General features: G+C 39.0%; 1 protein-coding gene across 5 annotated transcripts in view, besides 2 other annotated features; it reads right to left on the minus strand.

The window, feature by feature from the left end:
- Window positions 1-18,744, minus strand: part of ALG14 (ALG14 UDP-N-acetylglucosaminyltransferase subunit) — a 98,547-nt gene that overhangs the window by 63,355 nt on the left and 16,448 nt on the right. Inside the window, exon 3 of one of the 5 annotated variants that reach the window (XR_001737025.2) lies at window positions 3,734-3,853. The exons of the other annotated variants lie outside the window; for them this stretch is intronic. The gene's annotated coding sequence lies outside the window, so the exon portion shown is untranslated. The remainder of the gene's footprint in view (window positions 1-3,733; window positions 3,854-18,744) is intronic. 5 annotated transcript variants of the gene reach the window in all.
- Window positions 5,409-6,017: an enhancer, noted in NCBI's record as "NANOG-H3K4me1 hESC enhancer chr1:95508724-95509332 (GRCh37/hg19 assembly coordinates)". NCBI's record gives its function as "activates a minimal SCP1, AML or CMV promoter by ChIP-STARR-seq in primed H9 embryonic stem cells {active_cell/tissue: H9 hESC(primed)}" and the evidence as "EXISTENCE:reporter gene assay evidence [ECO:0000049][PMID:30033119]".
- Window positions 6,018-6,626: an enhancer, noted in NCBI's record as "H3K4me1 hESC enhancer chr1:95509333-95509941 (GRCh37/hg19 assembly coordinates)". NCBI's record gives its function as "activates a minimal SCP1, AML or CMV promoter by ChIP-STARR-seq in primed H9 embryonic stem cells {active_cell/tissue: H9 hESC(primed)}" and the evidence as "EXISTENCE:reporter gene assay evidence [ECO:0000049][PMID:30033119]".

Raw genomic sequence — 18,744 nt, forward strand, 5'->3', positions numbered from 1 at the left:
TTAAAATAAAATATATATATTAAAATCATGTATGAAACAATTGTTTACGACATTGAATTTCAGAGCTGTACTCTCTAAGCATGGATTCATTCACTTGTTTCTTCATTAAACTTTCAACAAGCACCTGCCAGGTGACAGGAACTGGGCTAGGGAAACAGAGGTGAATAAGACATTCACAAGGAACTCACTGCAGTCTATCAGGACAGCACAGGAAAAGTGATAATTGCAGTCAAAGGGATAACTATAATATGAGACAATTATTAAATATAATGTTAGCACCAAGTAAGAAGTAATAAACTGGACCAGGTGCGGTGGTTCACACCTGTAATCCCAGCACTTTGGGAGGCCAAGATACGTGGATTGCCTGAAGGTCAAGAGTTTGAAACCTGCTTGGCCAACATGGTGAAACCCTGTCTCTACTAAAAATACAAAAAATTGGCCACGCGCGGTGGCTTACGCCTGTAATGCCTGTAATCCCAGCACTTTGGGAGGCCGAGGTGTTTGGATCACCTGAGGTCAGGAGTTTTGAGACCATCCTGGCCAACATAGTAAAACCTTGTCTCTACTAAAAATACAAAAATTAGCTGGGTATGGTAGCACGTGCCTGTAGTCCCAGCTACTTGGGAGGCTGAGGCAGGAGAATTGCTTAAACCCAGGAGGAGGAAGTTGCAGTGAGCCAAGATCGTGACACTGCACTCTAGTCTGGTGACAGAGTGAGACTCCATCTCAAAAACAACAAACAAACAAACAAACAAAAACCCCAAAAAACAAATTAGCCAGGTGTGGTCATGGGCACTTGTAATCCCAGCTACCTGGGAGGCTGAGGCAAAATAATTGTTTAAATCTGGGAGGTGGAGGTTGCAGTGAGCCAAGATTGCACCACTGCACTCCAGCCTGGGCAACAAGAACAAAACTTCACCTCAAAAAAAAAAAAAAACAAAGTGATAAACTATAAGGTTTTTTTTTTTTTTTTTTTTGAGACAGGGTCTCCCTCTCTTGCCCAGGCTGGAGAGCAGCGGCATGATCATGACTCACTGCATCCTTGACCTCCTGGGCTCAAGCGATTCTCCCACCTTGGCCTTCTGGGTAGCCAGGACTACAGGCATGCCCCATCACATCTTGCTGATTTTAAAAAAACTTTTTCTAAAGACGGGGTCTTCCTATGTTGCCCAGGCTGGTCTGGAATTCCTGGGTTCAAATGATCTTCCCACCTTGGCCTCCCAAATTGTTGGGATTACAGGCGTGAGCCACCACGCCCAGCCAATACATTATTCTTTGATAAGGTAAATCAGGCTTCATGAAGAGATTCCTGATCTAACTTGTGCAGGATATAAAATTTTCTAAGTATAATAGTGTGGGTGTGGTTGGTGAAGGGTCTTCTTGCCAGAGGAAGCAGCGTGTTCAGAGCTGAGAGACATGAAATAGCATGGAATATCTGGGGAACTGTATTTTGGTACGTAAGAAGCAACATAGGGAACAACAGAAAATGGAGTTGGAGCGGAATAATGGGAGCAGAAATGCATTCAAGAAATACCAGTCTAGTAATTATGAAGAGAATGGACAGAAGGGGAGAGGGCACGACCAGAGAAGGGCAATCATTGGGGAGATCACTGAAATACATCAGAAGAATGATGCTGAAGGCCTGACGGCCAGCAGCAGCACTAAGGTAGAGGAATGGAGATGACAAGCAGTGAGAAGGGAGATTTAGGACGCTGGAGAGTTTGGGATAACTCTCAGGTTTTTACCTAGGGTGAACGGTACTGTCATGACCTGGGGAGCAAATAGCAAGAGCGGAAACAGGCTGACAGCACATCATGATTCACTGTGGTCTTGTTTGGAGCATAATTTTGAGTTGGTAAAATACTCTTTAAGTATAAAATATATCAATATTAGAAAACATACACAGGTATTTTAGGTTGAAATGGGACAGACAGGAGTTTGTACTATAACTGAAGCAATGGGTAGACCTAGCAGGCAAGTGGACGGAGGAAGACAACTGGGAATCTAGGAAGATAATATTCAGGAATCTGGATGCTGGACTGATGCTGACAGGCCCTGGAGAAACACAGCCTGGAGCAGAAGCCTCGCTTGACGTTGACAAGTCAGACTTGAAAGCCAGGTGTGAGATCTCTGCCGGGTGCAGTGACTCACGCCTGTAATCTCAACACTTTGGGAGGCCGAGGTGGGCGGATCACTTGACCTCAGGAGTTCAAGACCAGGCTGGGCAACACGGCAAAACCCTATCTCTACAAAAAATACAATATTAGCCAGGTGTGGTGGCTCGCACCTGTGGTCCCAACTACTGGGGAGGTTGAGGTGGGTGGATAGCTTAAGCCTGGGAGGAAGAGGTTGTAGTGAGCCAAGATTGAACCACTGCACTCCAGCCTGGGTGACAGAGTGAGACCCTGTCTCAAAATAAATAAATAAATAAATAAATAAATAAATAAATAAGATTCCTAATCTCAGCCAGGCCTCCTTATTTCACAGTAGAAGACTAAGGCCCAGAGGGGTTGATTCACACAAGGTGACAGAGCTGGTTATTAGCAGGACCCACAGCTCCCTTACTCATATGTTGCTTCATGACATTTCATAAGCACCATAAAGTGAGCATCTACCAGGTATTTGAAGGACAAGGGAGTATCCCTCGGCACCCATTGTTTCCCTTTTACTTCCTTGCCATGCTCACCTGCTTGGTCAAACCTGACTAAAACTGTAAGTACATCTCTAGTCACAGCCTGGCCACATGCAGAGCTTAGAATTATGCTGTCCGTGGTGTGACTGCAACTACCAGAATTATTTCCTTGGGCCTAAAGGCTGGAAGGATCTAACAGCCTCCATTTGTACAAAAGGAAGGACGTAGGGAATTCCAAAACAGGCCATGTCCTGATTTTATAACAGCACAAAATAAATTGTATGTTTGTACTCAAAGGTATAGATTTTTTTTTTAATTGTGCTATTTATGTTTTTAAAACCAAACATTGGTGATTAGAATGCCATAAATTTGCTTTGAAATGGAGAAACAACAGTACTATATTATAAAATGTTACTGCTCTTCATGTTGTAAGAATCCCATACAATACAAATTTAACTGGCACTGGGAAATTGGTTAAATTACCACAAGGTTGAAATAACGGCACTATGTTATTCACAGCTATTTTAATTTCATCTGTTCAGAACATGATTTAAAGAAAGTTTAACCTGACTGGCTTTAGGTCTAGAGATAGAGGAAGGAATAATTGAGATTTGGGGAGGAATTTAAGAGATTAAGCTGTTTAAAATACTTTAAAAGCATGTATATATCTACCTGATATACTATTTCAAAAATAAGAATCTATTCACTGAAATGGCCACATCAGAATCTCTATTTGCAGTAAATTACAAATATTTTCTTATTCAAATATTTTGCTCATTTAGACCGGCCTCCTTTCAAATTAGAGATTTTTTTTTACCTTTACCTATAATTCAGTAAGTTAAGGTCCATATGAATGAGGAAAAGTGCACATATACATTATACACACTCAAAACCATAACTATGTTAAGCCACCAGTTGTAATATACATTACAGTTGACAAACTTAAATAAAACCCCACAGTTTAAACTATACAGTTACAAACATTTCTTTCAGAACTGATTGGGAGGCCAAGGCAGAAGGAGACTAGCGTAGGCAACACAGCAAGACCCCATCTTTACAAAAACAAAAATTAAAAAATTAGCTGGGTGTGATGGGCCTTACCTGTAGTTCCAGTTACTTGGGAGGCTGAGGCAGGACTGCTTGAGCCCAGGAATTCAAAGATGCAGTGAGCTATGATTGCACCACTGCACCCCAGCCTGGGCAGACAGTGAGACCCCGTCTCTTTAAAAAAAAAAAAAAAGAAAGAAAGAAAAAAAAAGAAAGGGAAAAAAGAACTGCTTAGGAACTGTGGAAAGTAACAACAAATACACTCAATGTAGACATCTCAGCAAGCTGTACACAGTCTCAGTCCACTGTGCGAAGTTAGCACCCCACCTTGTGGAAAACAGTAGGTGGTGTTCAGTGGAAGAATGTCATGTTAATTTTAGAAGAGCTGGTTGATAAATCCTGCAACCACCAAACTGCCACTGATTCTTATATAAACAGAAAATGCAAAACCAAAAAAAGAATGCAAACCAAAAGAATCCCTATTTATTACACTAGCAGCAAAACTTTTGTACTTCCAAAATAAAAGGATATGAGCCTCAAAATATTGGTGCTTGTGGTATGTGTTTGGATTATTTCTGTAGAAAATATTTATTTAGATATTTATAAAAAAATAAATATTTCATATTAGTAGGTTTTTACTCCCACTGGGGCTTGTATCTCTTCTTAGTTTTGTTTCTAAAAAATAGCTGTTTTCTAATTGTAACTTTAGAAAATACAGAAAAATATTCAAAGACAAAACCAAAAATCAACCAATATCTCCCTACTCTTTTGAAGAAGCCCCCACCCCAACACTCTATCTCACAGAGATCTCTCCCTCCTCTGCATTCAAAGCACTCATTGTCCTTTGCTTATCTTTGATTTAAACATACACACACACACACACACACACATACACACAGTTTGAAAGTTCTTCTGGTCTTCTCAGTTTCGTCAGACTCTTCGCGTTATTTATCATTCCTGTTACTTTCTTGGCACCATGTCTTCTGGAGTTCTCTGTCACTTTGCTCTGTTCCCAACTGTTTGTTCTCTAGGACCACCTATGAAGTCTTCACACTGGAACTCCCTTCACTGCTGTCCTGAGAATTCCCTTCCCTTCTCTCCTGGACTGAGGCCCAGATCCCTGGAACTGAGTCTCCCTTTTGGGTGCCCCTTGTTTTGGTGGGGCACACCCTCTGTGGGAGGGTACATGAGGAATCCATTTGAGACACTGCTCCACTGTACTTCTGAAACCTCAAATGTGATTCCTTTTCTTGTTCTTTCTGGAAGTTTTTAGTATCTTCTCTTCATCGTTAGTTCTGAAACTGTACATGACGTGTCTTGTGACTACACTTTCACTGGACTCAGGATAGTCCTTTTATTTTAAAAGTCGGGTCCTTCTGTTTTGGAAATTTCCCTGGGTCATAATTTTGTTTCATTTTGAACTTTTCCCATTTCCTTGTTCCTTCTGAATAATGGACTTGCAACATCCAGTTTGGTTGTCTAATTTTCTTGCCTTTCTCTACTGTTTTTTACGTTTTCCTTATGCTTTTAATCTTTTTCTTGAGTTCTTCAATGTGATCTTCCAATCTTTCATTGAATTTTTATTGCTGAAATCAAAATTTTAATAGCCAAGGGGTTTTTTTTGTTCTTAGTTTTTTAAAAAATAGGTCTCATTCTTGTTTTAATGAAATAATGCCCTCTCATTTCTTCGAACATAATTGTTTTCGTTTAAACTCCCCACTGCCACTGAAATGCCCTTTTCTCTAGTTCCTTTCGTTAGTTTTCTCTTTAGAGGCTTTCCTCAAATGTCTGATATTCTGTAGATGTTGATTCAACTACTGATTCTCAAGGGCGATGGGAGGGGAGGCCCCCCATACACACGTTATAAGGTCTGGAGACATTTTGGGTTGCCATAACTGGTGGTGGGGGTTGGGGGAGCACTCTTGGCATCTGGTGGATAAAGGCCAGGGATGCTGCTAACATCCTGTAACACACAGGACATTCCCCTACAATGAAGATTTGTCTGTCCCAAAATGTCAATAGTGACGAGGATGAGAAGCCCTACTTCACATTAAAGAATGAGGCATTAAAAGGCCGACTGCAGGCTCTATGTTCAGCTCTCTACCGCCTCTACTGAGAACTAGTGCAGGTCAGCGGCTAAATGATCAGCAGTGCACTGCCACCTGGTGGCAGGATGAGGGAGTGACATTGCAGAGGAAAGAAAATATAAGTCCTTCAACACTTGGAGGGGCCCGCCTGGTCCATTTCTGAAGCTTCAAGGACCTTTTAGGGGAAGGAGAGGAAAGAGGAAGGTAGAGAGGAGAAGGAAAAGAAGTAGAAGGAAAGGAGAAGGAGCGAGGAGGGGGAGAGAGGAGAGAGAAAGAGAGGGTTGAAGAGAGAGGAGAGGAAGAAGAGAGAGAAGGAGGGGAGAGGGAGAAGGGAATGAGGGAGGAAGGGAGACAGGGAAGGAGGGAGAGAGAGTGCACAAGTGTGTAGAGTTTAGGAAACGGTTTTGAATCTGTGCAAAGTGGTTCTGGGAAGTCCCTCTAAATCCCAGGGAGTTTCCAGGTTCCTCTAGGCAACACTTTAAAGACCCTTGGAGATCGGGATGCTCCCCTTTCAGACATCCCAGGGTTGGTGATGGCAATCCCATTCTTACAATTGCTCAGAACAGCTTTGTAGTCATGTTTGATTCCTCTGTTTTCTGCCATGAAATTCTGTTAACTCCACTTTCAAAAACATCCAGAATCCAACTATTTTCCCTTACTCCTGGCCCTCCTGATGCAAGCCACATTATCTCTTGCTGGGATTTCTGCAACAACCTCCTAACTGATTTCCTTGGTTTTGCTTTTGGTGTATTTGTAACACAGCCACACGAGTGACCTGTGTAAAACAGTATGATTGTGTCACTCCTCCAAGCAAAACTTTCCAACAGGTCTCTATTTTCCTCAGATTAAGAGAGGAAGTTTTTAAAAGGGCTTACAAGGTCCTAAATTATCTGGTCTTTGCCCACTCCTCCCATCTCCTCTTCAGTGTCTCTCCTTCCACTCACTCTCCTCCAGGGACCAGGATTACCTGCTATTGCACCAACATCCAGGAATATTCCTCTCTATGGCTTTTCCAGAGACTTTTCCCTCTGCTTGAAACACTCTTCTCTCAGGAGTCCCCATCGCCTTCAAGGTCCTAAGAGCAATCACAACTTTTCCACCCCATCAAAATTCCCAGTTCCCCATCCCTGTGCAATCTGCCCCCACAGCACTGATCACCTTCTAACAGACTTTACTATTTTCTTCTTCACTATGTCTGGTATTACTGTCTTCTCATCCAGGTCAAGTGGAGTGAGCTCCATGATGGCAGACATTTTTTTGTGTTTTTTGTTCACTTGTGTATCCCAACTATCTATAATATTGCCTGGCAAATGGAAAGCAAATATTTATTGCTGAATAAACAAAGTATTTTTTTTTTAAAAAAAGCATTAGGATTCTGACACCTACTGCATTATAAATTTGGGAAAACTGAAAATCTTTGTTAAGTTTTTAAACATCAGGAACATGCTTCTGTATTTATTTTTACCATATTTAATGTCTCAATAAGATTTCACTATTGGGCCCATATTGATCATTTCCTTTTATTCAAGCTCCTTTCCCAGTGTTTAATATTTTAGGTCTCTTTCTTCATTATTTTTCTAACAGTTAAAGCTAGCATATAAGGAAGTGATTGAGTTTTGCATATTTGGCTTGAATCTGATACTTTTCTGAACTTGTATTACTTGATAGTCTTTTGTTGATTTTGTTTCTAGATATAATTATTTATAGCATATATTACTTTATTTCTTCTTTTTCAATGTTTATACCTCTTATTTCGACTTAGGTGGAGGGCCAAAACAAAACACAGTATGACTAATGGCAGATACTCTTCTTTTGGTTCTGATTTTAGAGAGAAAGAATGTAATGGACATTGGCTTTTGGCTCCAAGTATACTTTTTCATTTTAAGGAAACCATTGACAATGTTGGAATAATAGGTTATTTGTGCAAAGCAGTGTTTTAGGAAGCTAAATGTGGACAGCCAGGGATATCAATGTGATTTAAAGAAGACTAGAGTCCAAATCAGTAGTATGTGTAGAGTTTGCATATACATTGCAAATGTACTGCAATGTATACATTGTATTAGTATACTAATTGTATAGTATTAGCATACTGTATTAGTATATTAATAGAATTAGTATAATAGTATACTAACAGAATGGTATACTAATAGAATTAGCATACTATATACTAATAGAATTAGCATACTATATACTAATAGAATTAGCATACTATATACTAATAGAATTAGCATACTATATACTAATAGAATGGCATACTAATAGAATTAGTATACTAATAGAATGGCATACTAATAGAATTAATATACTAATAGAATGGCATACTAATAGAATTAGTATACTAATAGAATGGCATAGTAATAGAATTAATATACTAATAGAATGGTATACTAATAATTAGTATACTAATAGAATAGTATACTAATAATTAGTATACTAATAGAATAGTATACTAATAGAATTAGTATTATATTATTATACTAATTAGTATTATATTATTATACTAATTCTATTAGTATATACTCAGTATACTCAGTATTGCTGGCTTGAGTAAATTATTGAAAAATATGAATAGAGGGCATAGTGGCCACAACAAAAATAGTTTGGAATATCTATTACACTGGTTTCTACACCATATATTTATACTCCTAACTTCTAGGTGTACTTCAGAATAGGAATTCAATCAACAATCTAGCACAGGAGTCTCCAACCATCAGGCTGTGAATCAGTAGCAGTCTGTGGCCTGTTAGGAACCGGGCTGCACGGCAGCAGGTGAGTGGCAGGTGAGCCAGCATTACCACCTGAGCTCTGCCTCCTATCAGATCAGCAGCAGCATCAGATTCTCTTAGAAGTGCGAACCCTATTGTGAACTGTGCATGCAAGGGATCTAGGCTGTGCACTCCTTAAGAGAATCTAACTAACGCCTGATGATCTGAGGTGAAACAGTTTCATCCTGAAACCATCCTCCACCATCTGTGGAAAAACCGTCTTCCATGAACCTGGTCCCTGGTGCCAAAAAGGTTGAGGACTGCTGATCTAGCAGAATGCTAGAGTGGGCAAGGGTTGACAAGCCCTTTAATGTCAGCAAGTTATTTAATTTGGGCTTCTTTATTTCCCATATTTATTGCAGTAAAATTGGAAAGTTATAAAAGTGCTTGCAGAATGTGTATAAAATGTACTTTTTAAAATAACTTACAGAATAAAATAATACTACAGCATTTAGTGAAAAACTGAAAATGATAGGAAATGGTATAACAATACTATAGTTTACAATCATTTTAAAGTAAAAAGCAGTCTAGGCGCAGTGGCTTACGCCTGTAATCTCAACACTTTGGGAGGCTGAGGTGGGTGGATAGCTTGAGCCCAGAAGTTCGAGACCAGCCTGGGCAACCTGAGATTGCTGCACTGCACTCCAGCCTGGGCGACAGAGTGAAACCCTGTCTCACAAAAAAACATAACATAACATAACATAACATAACATAACATAACATAACATAACATAACATAACATAACGACATGCCTGTATGAACCAACATGGAAAGTTATCAAGGTACAGAATTAAATTTTTTTTAAAAGTTGCAGACAATATATAGGATGTGATTTATAAACTAGCCATAACCTGCTCCTTCCAAAAAACACCCAACACTGTCTCTAGGGTTATATGTATGTGTGTATATATAATTCATACTTTGTTATATGTATACATGTAACAGAAGGGGAAAAAAAGCACTGGCAGGATATAACTCAAACTGGTACAGTGGTTACTTCTAGAGAGTGGAACTGGGATAGTGACAGGAAACTTTCACTGTTTACTTTGTATATTTATTTATTTTTTTTTAGATGGAGTTTCGCTCTTGTCACCCAGGTTGGAGTGCAGTGGCGTGATCTCGGCTCACTGCAACCTCTGCCTCCTGGTTCAAGTGATTCTCCTGGCCTCAGCCTCCCAAGTAACTGGGATTACAGGCGCCCACCACCACGCCCAGCTAATTTTTGTATTTTTGGTAGACACGGGGTTTCACCATGTTGGCCAGGCTGGTTTTGAACTCCTGACCTCAGCTGATCTGCCCGCCTTGGCCTCCCAAAGTGCTGGGATTACAGGTGTGAGCCACAGTGCCTGGCCTGTTTTTTTGCATATTTCTGTATTGTCCAAAGTTTTAAAATTAAGAAACCAACAGGCCAGGCATGGTGAGTCACGCCTGTAATCCCAGAGCTTCGGGAAGCTCAGGTAGGAGAATTGCTTGAGACCAGGAGTTCAAGACCAGCCTGGGCAACATAGCAAGACCCCATCTCTACAAAAAATAAAAAAGCCAGGTGTGGTGGTGCATTCCTATAGTTCTAGCTACTTGGGAAGCTGAGGCAGGAGAATCACTTGAGCCCAGGAGTTCGAGGTTGCAGTGAGCTATGATCATACCACTATATTCCTGCCTGGGCAACACAGCAAGATCCTGACTCTTTAAGAGAAAACATAAACAATAAATAAAATTTGGAATGAACAGAAAAGAGCAAAGCAACAGAAAAATAACCACTCATAGTCCTGCCACAGTTAATTATGGGGCATATTCAATAAAGATTTGCTGAAATTTCCACTAAACACAGTGTCTTGTATAGAATCAGCACTCATTTTGTATTTTTTGATTGAATTAGCAAATAAATAATGTTTATTGGGAAAACATAAGCCTACTTACAGAGTAGTGGGAAATCTAATTAAGTGGCCTGAAAGTTGGCTCTGACTTTTAACCCTTCAAATCAGTTTTCAGCAACTTCTATTGTTGTTTTATATATGAAAAACTCTATATTTTTTTAAATGCAGGTTAAAAAATGTTTTATTCATATGTCACCGAGCTTTTTTCTTCAGTAATGTGAAAAGGGGCCAACTCATGCTGTAACAGAAGTTACAAGGAGTAATAGTTGGTTGCCAAGGGAGGCAGTTAAGAAACAAGGCTCAGATTCAGAAGCAAATAAAAGAATGAACCAAAATCCACACTGCAATGCCCTGAGCCTCATTTCCTTCCACGCCTTGGAGGGGTGGATGTCCCTGCTGAAACATGGCCTATTGCTCTCCAGGAAGAACGTTCTGATTTGAGTTTTCATTTACCTTCATAGGGCTCTGGTAATTGGCTCTATTTGGAAAGGTTACTCTCCAATTTTTGCTGGAAGGTATTACTTTACTACTCTTTACTTTAGAACTAATCCCAGTGGAAATTACTTTTTCTTTGGTAGGCTTTTCAAGGTATTTTTTTTTCATATAAGTAATTTCACAGTCAAATATCCTTTTTTTTTTTCTTAGCTCTCCACTCTTTGCCTTTCTAATTTCAGTTGTTAGTCAAGGAAGCCTGTTTCTTATTAAAAAGCTACTTAAACTACTCAGAGAAAGACAGGCTGAAGAGTAGAGTTAAAAAGTTATTAAACCAGGAGTATTATTTGCCTTTACTCTTGTGTAATTATAAATAAGGTGAATTAGGCACCTAAAATATTATACACCATTAAAATATACACTGATTCAGAAGAATCAGAAGAAATTTGAATGAAGAATTTGTGCAAGAAATGCAGGCCACCTCTAACATTCAATTAATAAAATTATACTAGTTTAAAATTTAGCTTAAAATCTGCTGTATATTAATATCTAGCATAAATAGGTAAATACCAACATTAATTTTTTTCTTGCATGAGGGCTATGAAAGGTTATAATTACAAAAAGATAAATAAATAAACATTTAAAAAATATGGGGGCAAGCACAGTGGCTCACACCTGTAATCCCAGCACGTTGGGAGGTGAAAATGGGCAGATTGCTTGAGTTCAGGAGTTCGCGACCAGTCTGGGCCACATGGCAAAACCCCGTCTCTACCAAAAATACAAGAAATTAGCCTGGTGTGAGTGGTGTGCACCTGTAGTCCCAGCTACTCAGGAGACTGAGGTGGGAGAATTGCTTGAGCTTAGGAGCCAGAGGTTGCAGTGAGTCGAGATCGCACCACTGCACTCCAATCTGGGTGACAGAGTGAGACCCTGCCTCAAAAAAAAATTATTAAAAAATAAAAAATAAGGGCCAGGCAAAAAATAAGGGCAAGGTAAAAAATACAGGCTCATGCCTGTAATTCCAGCACTTTTGGGAAGCTGAAGCAGGCAGATCATTTGAGCTCAAGAGTTTGAGACCAGCCTGGGCAACATAATGAGACCCTGTTACTACAAAATATCAAAAATTAGCCCAGTGTGGTGGTGCACGTCTATAGTCCCAGCTACTTGGGGGGCTGAGACAGGAGGATCACTTGAACCCAGGAGGTGGAGGCTGCAGTGAGCCATGATTGAGCCACTGCACTCCAGCCTGGGTGACAAAGAGAGATCCCGTCCCAAAAAAATAAAATAAAATAAAAATAAAATTTTTTTCTACAAACTAGCAAAAACATTTAGAAATTTATTGGATAATTCCATATCAGAATAAGTTATTAACCAAATGACAGAAATTTCCTGTTACTTATATAACTATAAGTGATTAACATTTCTAATTTGTATCTTCTGATTTCTGGGAAGCTCTCTGTGTTTTTGGAGGAGCAAGCCTGTGTTGAAAATGTGGATTTTGGCTTCTCACCAGAACCAAGTGTGAATCGATGCCCTTTTATTCCTGAAGCGTTCCGAGCGATATGGATGAGATCTTCTGCCAAAGCACAAAGTGCAGTTACTATTAATGCTTTAAAATGATCCAGATTTTCTGGTTCACTTAAGAAGTCCGAAAAAAATTAAATTATAGAGAGATAGTTCAAGGCCTGTAACCACAGGAGTGTTTTCTATAGCCAGGAAATTGCAACTTACACAATTATAGTGCATTATTTAAAAAGTGAGGAAAATTGGGGGAGAGAGGGGTGCTATTTACACAAATGGTGCAGAATAGGCATCCACACCAAGAGTACCTCAAAACTCTGACTTTCATTAGAAAATGAATTTGACTTTGGTTCTGATAGAATAGCAATATAAACTAGCTTTATAACCCTCCTTCTATAAACAGTTTTAAATGCTGTCAGAAATATAACAAAAATACAATTTAATCTGAACCAGGAAGAAGGAAACGGAAGTCCCTAATTGCCACAAACAAGAAGAAAATGAAAAGGGAACAGGCAGCCTGTGACATGAAGGTTTGAGGAGGATGACATAATTATTCCAGACACCTAAGGGCTGGGATTTCAGGGCCTCTAAAGGATGGGGAGGAGAAAAGCCTACAAAAAACAAATTGATAGCTGATATTTCCAAGACAATAACAGCTCCCCTATATCTGAAATTTATTAATAGAAGGCCCTAAGGCCCAGTTGTTAGTCTTCTTCTATTTTCTATCAATCAATCCCTGGGTAATTTTTTTTTTTTTTTTTTTTGGAGACGGGGTCTCACTGTGTCACCCAGGCTGAAGTGCAGTGGTGTGATCTCCACTTCCTGCAACCTCCGCCTCCTGGGTTCAAGCAATTCTCCTGCCTCAGCCTCCTTAGTAGTTGAGATTACAGGCATCAGCCACTGTGCCTGGCCTACTCCCTGGGTAATCTTATCTAGTTTCTTGTTTTACCTACCATCACCTATACACAGAAGACTCCAAAATCTATATTATAGACCAGACTTCCCTTCTGAACCTCAGACTCATAGATCCCATTGTATTATCTACATCTTCTCTCGTATGTTTACAGATAACCCACAATTACCCCTCCTGATGACCCCTCTAACCTTCTCTGTGTTAAGTGGCAACTCCATTCTTCCAGTGGCTCAGGCCAAAAACCTGGGTGCCATCTTCCACTCCTCCTCATTCTCTCACACCCTACATCTTATCTGCCAGTAAATCCTATCAGCTCTGACTTCAAAATATATTGAGAATCTGACTTCCTTCTCCCGCATCCACTCCCAGTCTAAGCCATGCTGATCTCTCATTTGGAGCACTGCAATAGCCTCTAAACCCCTCTCCCTGCTTTTGCCCTTCTCCCCTTCAGTTTAGTCAGCGACTAAAGTGATTCTGTCAGATCATGTCCCTCCTCTACCTAAAGCCTCCCAATGGCTCCCCATTTCACTCACTGGAAAAAGCCATCCAAGCCAACAAATGAACAACAAGGTCTTAAAAGACCTAAGCCTAACATCCTTACCTTAACCTCTATGACCTCAGATCCTACTCGCCTGCTTCCTTCGCTTTGGCTACATGGACTCTCGCTATTTTACAAACATGCCAGGCACGGCCCCACCTCAGGGCCTTCTTTGCAGTTACTGCTTCCTCTCCCAGAATTCTCTTTCCCCAGATGGCTTAACATCTCACCTCCTTCAGGTCTTCATCTAAACACACCTTTCCTGGTCACTACCTAAAATTACAACCCCCCTTTAACCCTCTGAATCTTCCTATTCCCTTGCCTTGCTTTATTCCTCTTCTTAACAAGTTTTCACTAACGCATTATAAATTTTACCTAATTATCTGGTTTATTATCCCGCCACTAGAATGTAGCCTCCATAAGGGCAGAGATTTTTCTGTTTTATTTACTACTGTATTCCTAACACTTAGTAGGTATTCAATAAATATTTGTTAAATAAGTTTGTGAATGCTAAACTTTGTCATGAAGGAAAACTAGAATTCTAATCAAAGGAAGGACAAAACCAAGACATATTTTCAGGTAAACAAACAAAAACATGAAAAGTCATCACTTGCAGAACTTCCATGAAGGAACGAATGAAATACATACCTCTGAAAGAAACACACTGAATCCAAAAAAACAAGTAGGATACAAGAAGCAAGGGTAAGAAAGAAAATGCCATATAAATATACATCTAAATAAGCACAACTGTATAAAGCAATAATAATGATAACTAATTTAGGTGGTATAAACACAAATTAGAACCAAAATACTACACAATAATATGTAAGAGGAGAAGGAGTGCTCACAGTTAAAACATTCTCAACACCTTGTTTAAGATGACAGCAAGAATGAGAAAAAAATAAAATAAAAATAAAAGGTTTGTTTTTCAGGAGGAGGATGGAGATATTATATTTTTTCCTTTAACTAGTTACTCATGTTAACAATTTACGAATAATGTGTAAGGGGCCAGGCGCAGTGGCTCACACCTGTAATCCCACCACTTTGGGAGGCCGAGGCAGGTGGATCATTTGAGGTCAGGAGTTCGAGACCAGCCTGGGCAACATGTTGAGACCCTGTCTCTACTAAATATACAAAAATGACTCAGGTGTGGTGGCACGTGCCTGTAATCTCAGCTACTCAGAGGCTGAAGCAGGAGAATCAGCTGAACCCGGGAGACACAGGTTGTACTGAGACAAGATCGCACCACTGCACTCCTGCTTGGGCACCAGAGCAAGACTGCATCTCGAAAAAAAAAAAAAAAAAGAGTAATGTCTAAGAGAATAGTATAATTTCCATTTCCAAATGAAAGGAGAAGCGGGGAATAAAGACATCTTCATTAACACAAACAGAAAGCAGCCCAAGGAGGAAAAACAAAAAGATTCCAAGAAAAAGGTCTAAGTAAAAAGGACAAAATAAAATAGGAGAAAGAAATCTAACGCATCAGTAATCACAACAAATGTATATGTACCAAACATGCTAGTTAGAAGACAATTCCCAGTTCTGAATTTTTAAAATTCTGCTATATGTCATTTATAAAAGACACATAAAAAATGCAATAACACACACAAAAAAGTGAAAATAAAGAGGTGGGAAAATACATACCATGCAAACACTAACCAAAAGGAAGCTGGTATTTCTATGTTAATGTTAGATAAAATAGATTTTTTTTTAAAAAAAGCATTATTAGGGATAAAATGGGTCACTTCATAAATGATTAAAAATAATTCACTACATAGAATCAAATTTGAGCTTCATAATGATTAAAAATAATTCACTATGTAGAATCAAATTTGAGCTTCATAATGATTAAAAATAATTCACTACGTAGAATCAAATTTGAACTAGAATGCAAAAATATGTACAGAAAGCTAACAAATACAAAGAAAAAAGACCAATTCACAATCACAATTTTTACATACCTGTCTCTGTTTTTTGGGATTTTTGTTTTTTTTGTTTGTTTGTTTTTAGAGATGGAGTCTCACTCTGTCACCCAGGCTTGAGTGCAGTGGCATGATCATAGCTCACTGTAACCTCAAACTCCTGGGTTCAAGCAATCCTCCTGCCTTGGCCTCCCACAGCGTTAGGATTATAGGTATGAGCCACAGCACTCAGCCCATGCCTCTCTCTTACTGAATAGATCAAGAAGTCAAAACAATTTATAAAGATATAGAAGATGACTTGAACAATGCAGTAAACATTATGGACATACACAGAACTCTGCAACAAACAATGGGGAATATAATTTCTTTTTAAGCACAGAAAATGTACTCAAACTCAAACATACTAGGCTACAAAGTAAGTCTCAACAAATACCAAGGAACTTCTTTTACAAGAACACATTCTCTGCTCACAATGTCAGATTAGAGTTTTACAAAAAGTCCAGCTACATGTTACTTACAGACAACACATCCAACCTTGCCTCAAACAACAAAAAAATGAATATTAAAATTGACAAATGTCTGGCTTCAAACAAGCAAAATTAGGACTGGAAGAGGGCACAAACTACAGCTACAGCACAAATTACAATATTAACAAGAGAATATTATTGATAGGGTTTAGATCTGTGTCCCCACCAAATCTCATGTCGAATTGTAATCCTCAGTGTTGAAGGAGGGGCCTGGTGGGAGATGACTGGATCATGGGGGTAGAGTTCTCATGAATGGTTGGTCATGATCTCCTTGGTACAGTATAGTGAGTGAGTTCTCACGGGATCTGTTTGTTTAAAAGTATGTAGCACTTCCCTCCACCCCTTCCTCCTGCTCTGCCCATGTGAAGTGCTGGCTCCTCCTTTGCCTTCTGCCATGATTGTAAGCTTCCTGAGGCCTCCCCAGAAGCAAAAGCTGCTATGCTTCTTGTATAGCTTGCAGAACTGTGAGCCAATTAAACCTCTCTTCTTTTTAAATTACCCGGTCTTGGGTATTTCTTTATAGCAATGCAAAAATGACTAATACAATTATGAAAATATTTATGTCAATACATTAGCAAATTTACATAAAATGGACACATTCCTAGAAAAATGTCCTAACAACACTGATTTAAAAAGAAACACAAATCTTGAAGAGTCCTATAACCATTACAAAAAGAACACATCAGGCCCAGGTGGTTTTGTCTTAGACAAGTTCTGCAAAACTTAAAAATAACCAATTCCGTGCTTACACAAATTCCTCCTGAGAATAAAAAGTTGTCTATACTCCACAGCTCATTTGATGAGAGTACTGTAACCTTGATACCAATACCAAAGAAAAGCATGAGAAAGGAAAAGTACAATCTCACACATGAACATACATTTAAAAATCCAAAACAATATGTTTGCAAACCAAATCTAGCAATGTATTAAAATATAACACACCATAAACAAACTGAGTTTATTCCAGGAATTCAAGAATAGTTCATACCACGTACTTGGCCATATAAACAAATAAAATGGGAACAACCATATTATCTCACATGCAGAAAAGACATTTGATAAAAATCAACAACCAAGTATGATTTAAGGTAAAACTCTTGGCACATTTTTAAAATCAGAAAGAATACAAGGATGTCCACTACATTATTCTCTATTTGTTGCTGTTCTGGAAGTTCTGACAAAATAAAATGAGAAAAACAAAAGGTGTAAGGATTAGAAAGAATTAGAACTACCACTATTTGCAGATGATTAGATTATCTTCACAGATAACAAAGATTCATAGTAAATTATCAGCTTTAATTAGAATCTAGTAAGTAGATCTTCTAAGATTACTATACAAAAATCAAGTGTATCTCTACATACCACCAACACGGAAAATGTCACTAAAAGATATATTACTTCCAAGAGTAAAAAAACAATACAAGACACTTAGAAATAAACACACCAAAGATATGCAAGACTCTTATAAAGACAATTAGAAATGTTACTGAAAAGCATTAAGGAGATCTAAACAATGAAGAGAGAGAGAGATGAAGTTTCTGGATAGGAAGACATCATCATATAGATATAAGTTCTCCCCAAACTGATATATTCAATTTAATGCAAATAAAGATATCAACAAGATTCTTTTGTGAACTTGTCAAAACTAATTTAAAAACCTATGTAAGAAAGAAAGAAAAATTAAAACACCTCGGCCGGGTGTGGTGGCTCACACCTGTAATCCCAGCACTGTGGGAGGCCCAGGCGGGCGGATCACGAGGTCAGCAGATTGAGACCATCCTGGTTAACATGGTGAAATCCCGTCTCTACTAAAAAAAAAAAAAAAAAAAAAAAAAAAAAAAATTAGCCAGGCGTGGTGGCGGGTGCCTGTAGTCCCAGCTACTTGGGAGGCTGAGGCAGGAGAATGGCATGAACCCAGGAGGCAGAGCTTGCAGTGAGCGGAGATGCACCACTGCACTCCAGCCTGGGCTACAGAGTGAGACTCTGTCTCAAAAAAAAAAAAACAAAACAAAAACAAAAACAAAAAAAAACTTCTGAAGGATAAAGCTAAGGGAGTTTGGTACTGGGTGAGGGATAGACAAACAAACCAGTTAACAGAATAGAGAGCTAGGCTGAACAGCTATATATTAGAAGCAGAAAAAAAAAGAATAGAGAGCTAAGATACAGACCTATACATACACAAAAACTTCACGTATCAGTGGTGGCACTGCAGAAATGGACTGCTGAATAAATGGTGCTGGGCTGGGCCCCTATTTTGCCATATGGAAATTAGATCTCTTTCAAACATTATACAGAAAGAAATCAATTCCAGATGAATTAAAGACAAGTGTGAAAAGCAAAATGTGGCCAGGCACGGTGGCTCATGTTTATAATTCTAGCACTTTGGGAGGCCAAGGTGGGCAGACTGCTTGAGTCCAGGAGTTCGAGACCAGCCTGGGCAACATGGAGAAATTCTGTCTCTACAAAAAATACAAAAATTAGCCAG

The sequence above is a fragment of the Homo sapiens genome, chromosome 1, assembly GCF_000001405.40.
Source record: "Homo sapiens chromosome 1, GRCh38.p14 Primary Assembly".
In the NCBI taxonomy this organism is placed as follows: Eukaryota; Metazoa; Chordata; class Mammalia; order Primates; family Hominidae; genus Homo; species Homo sapiens.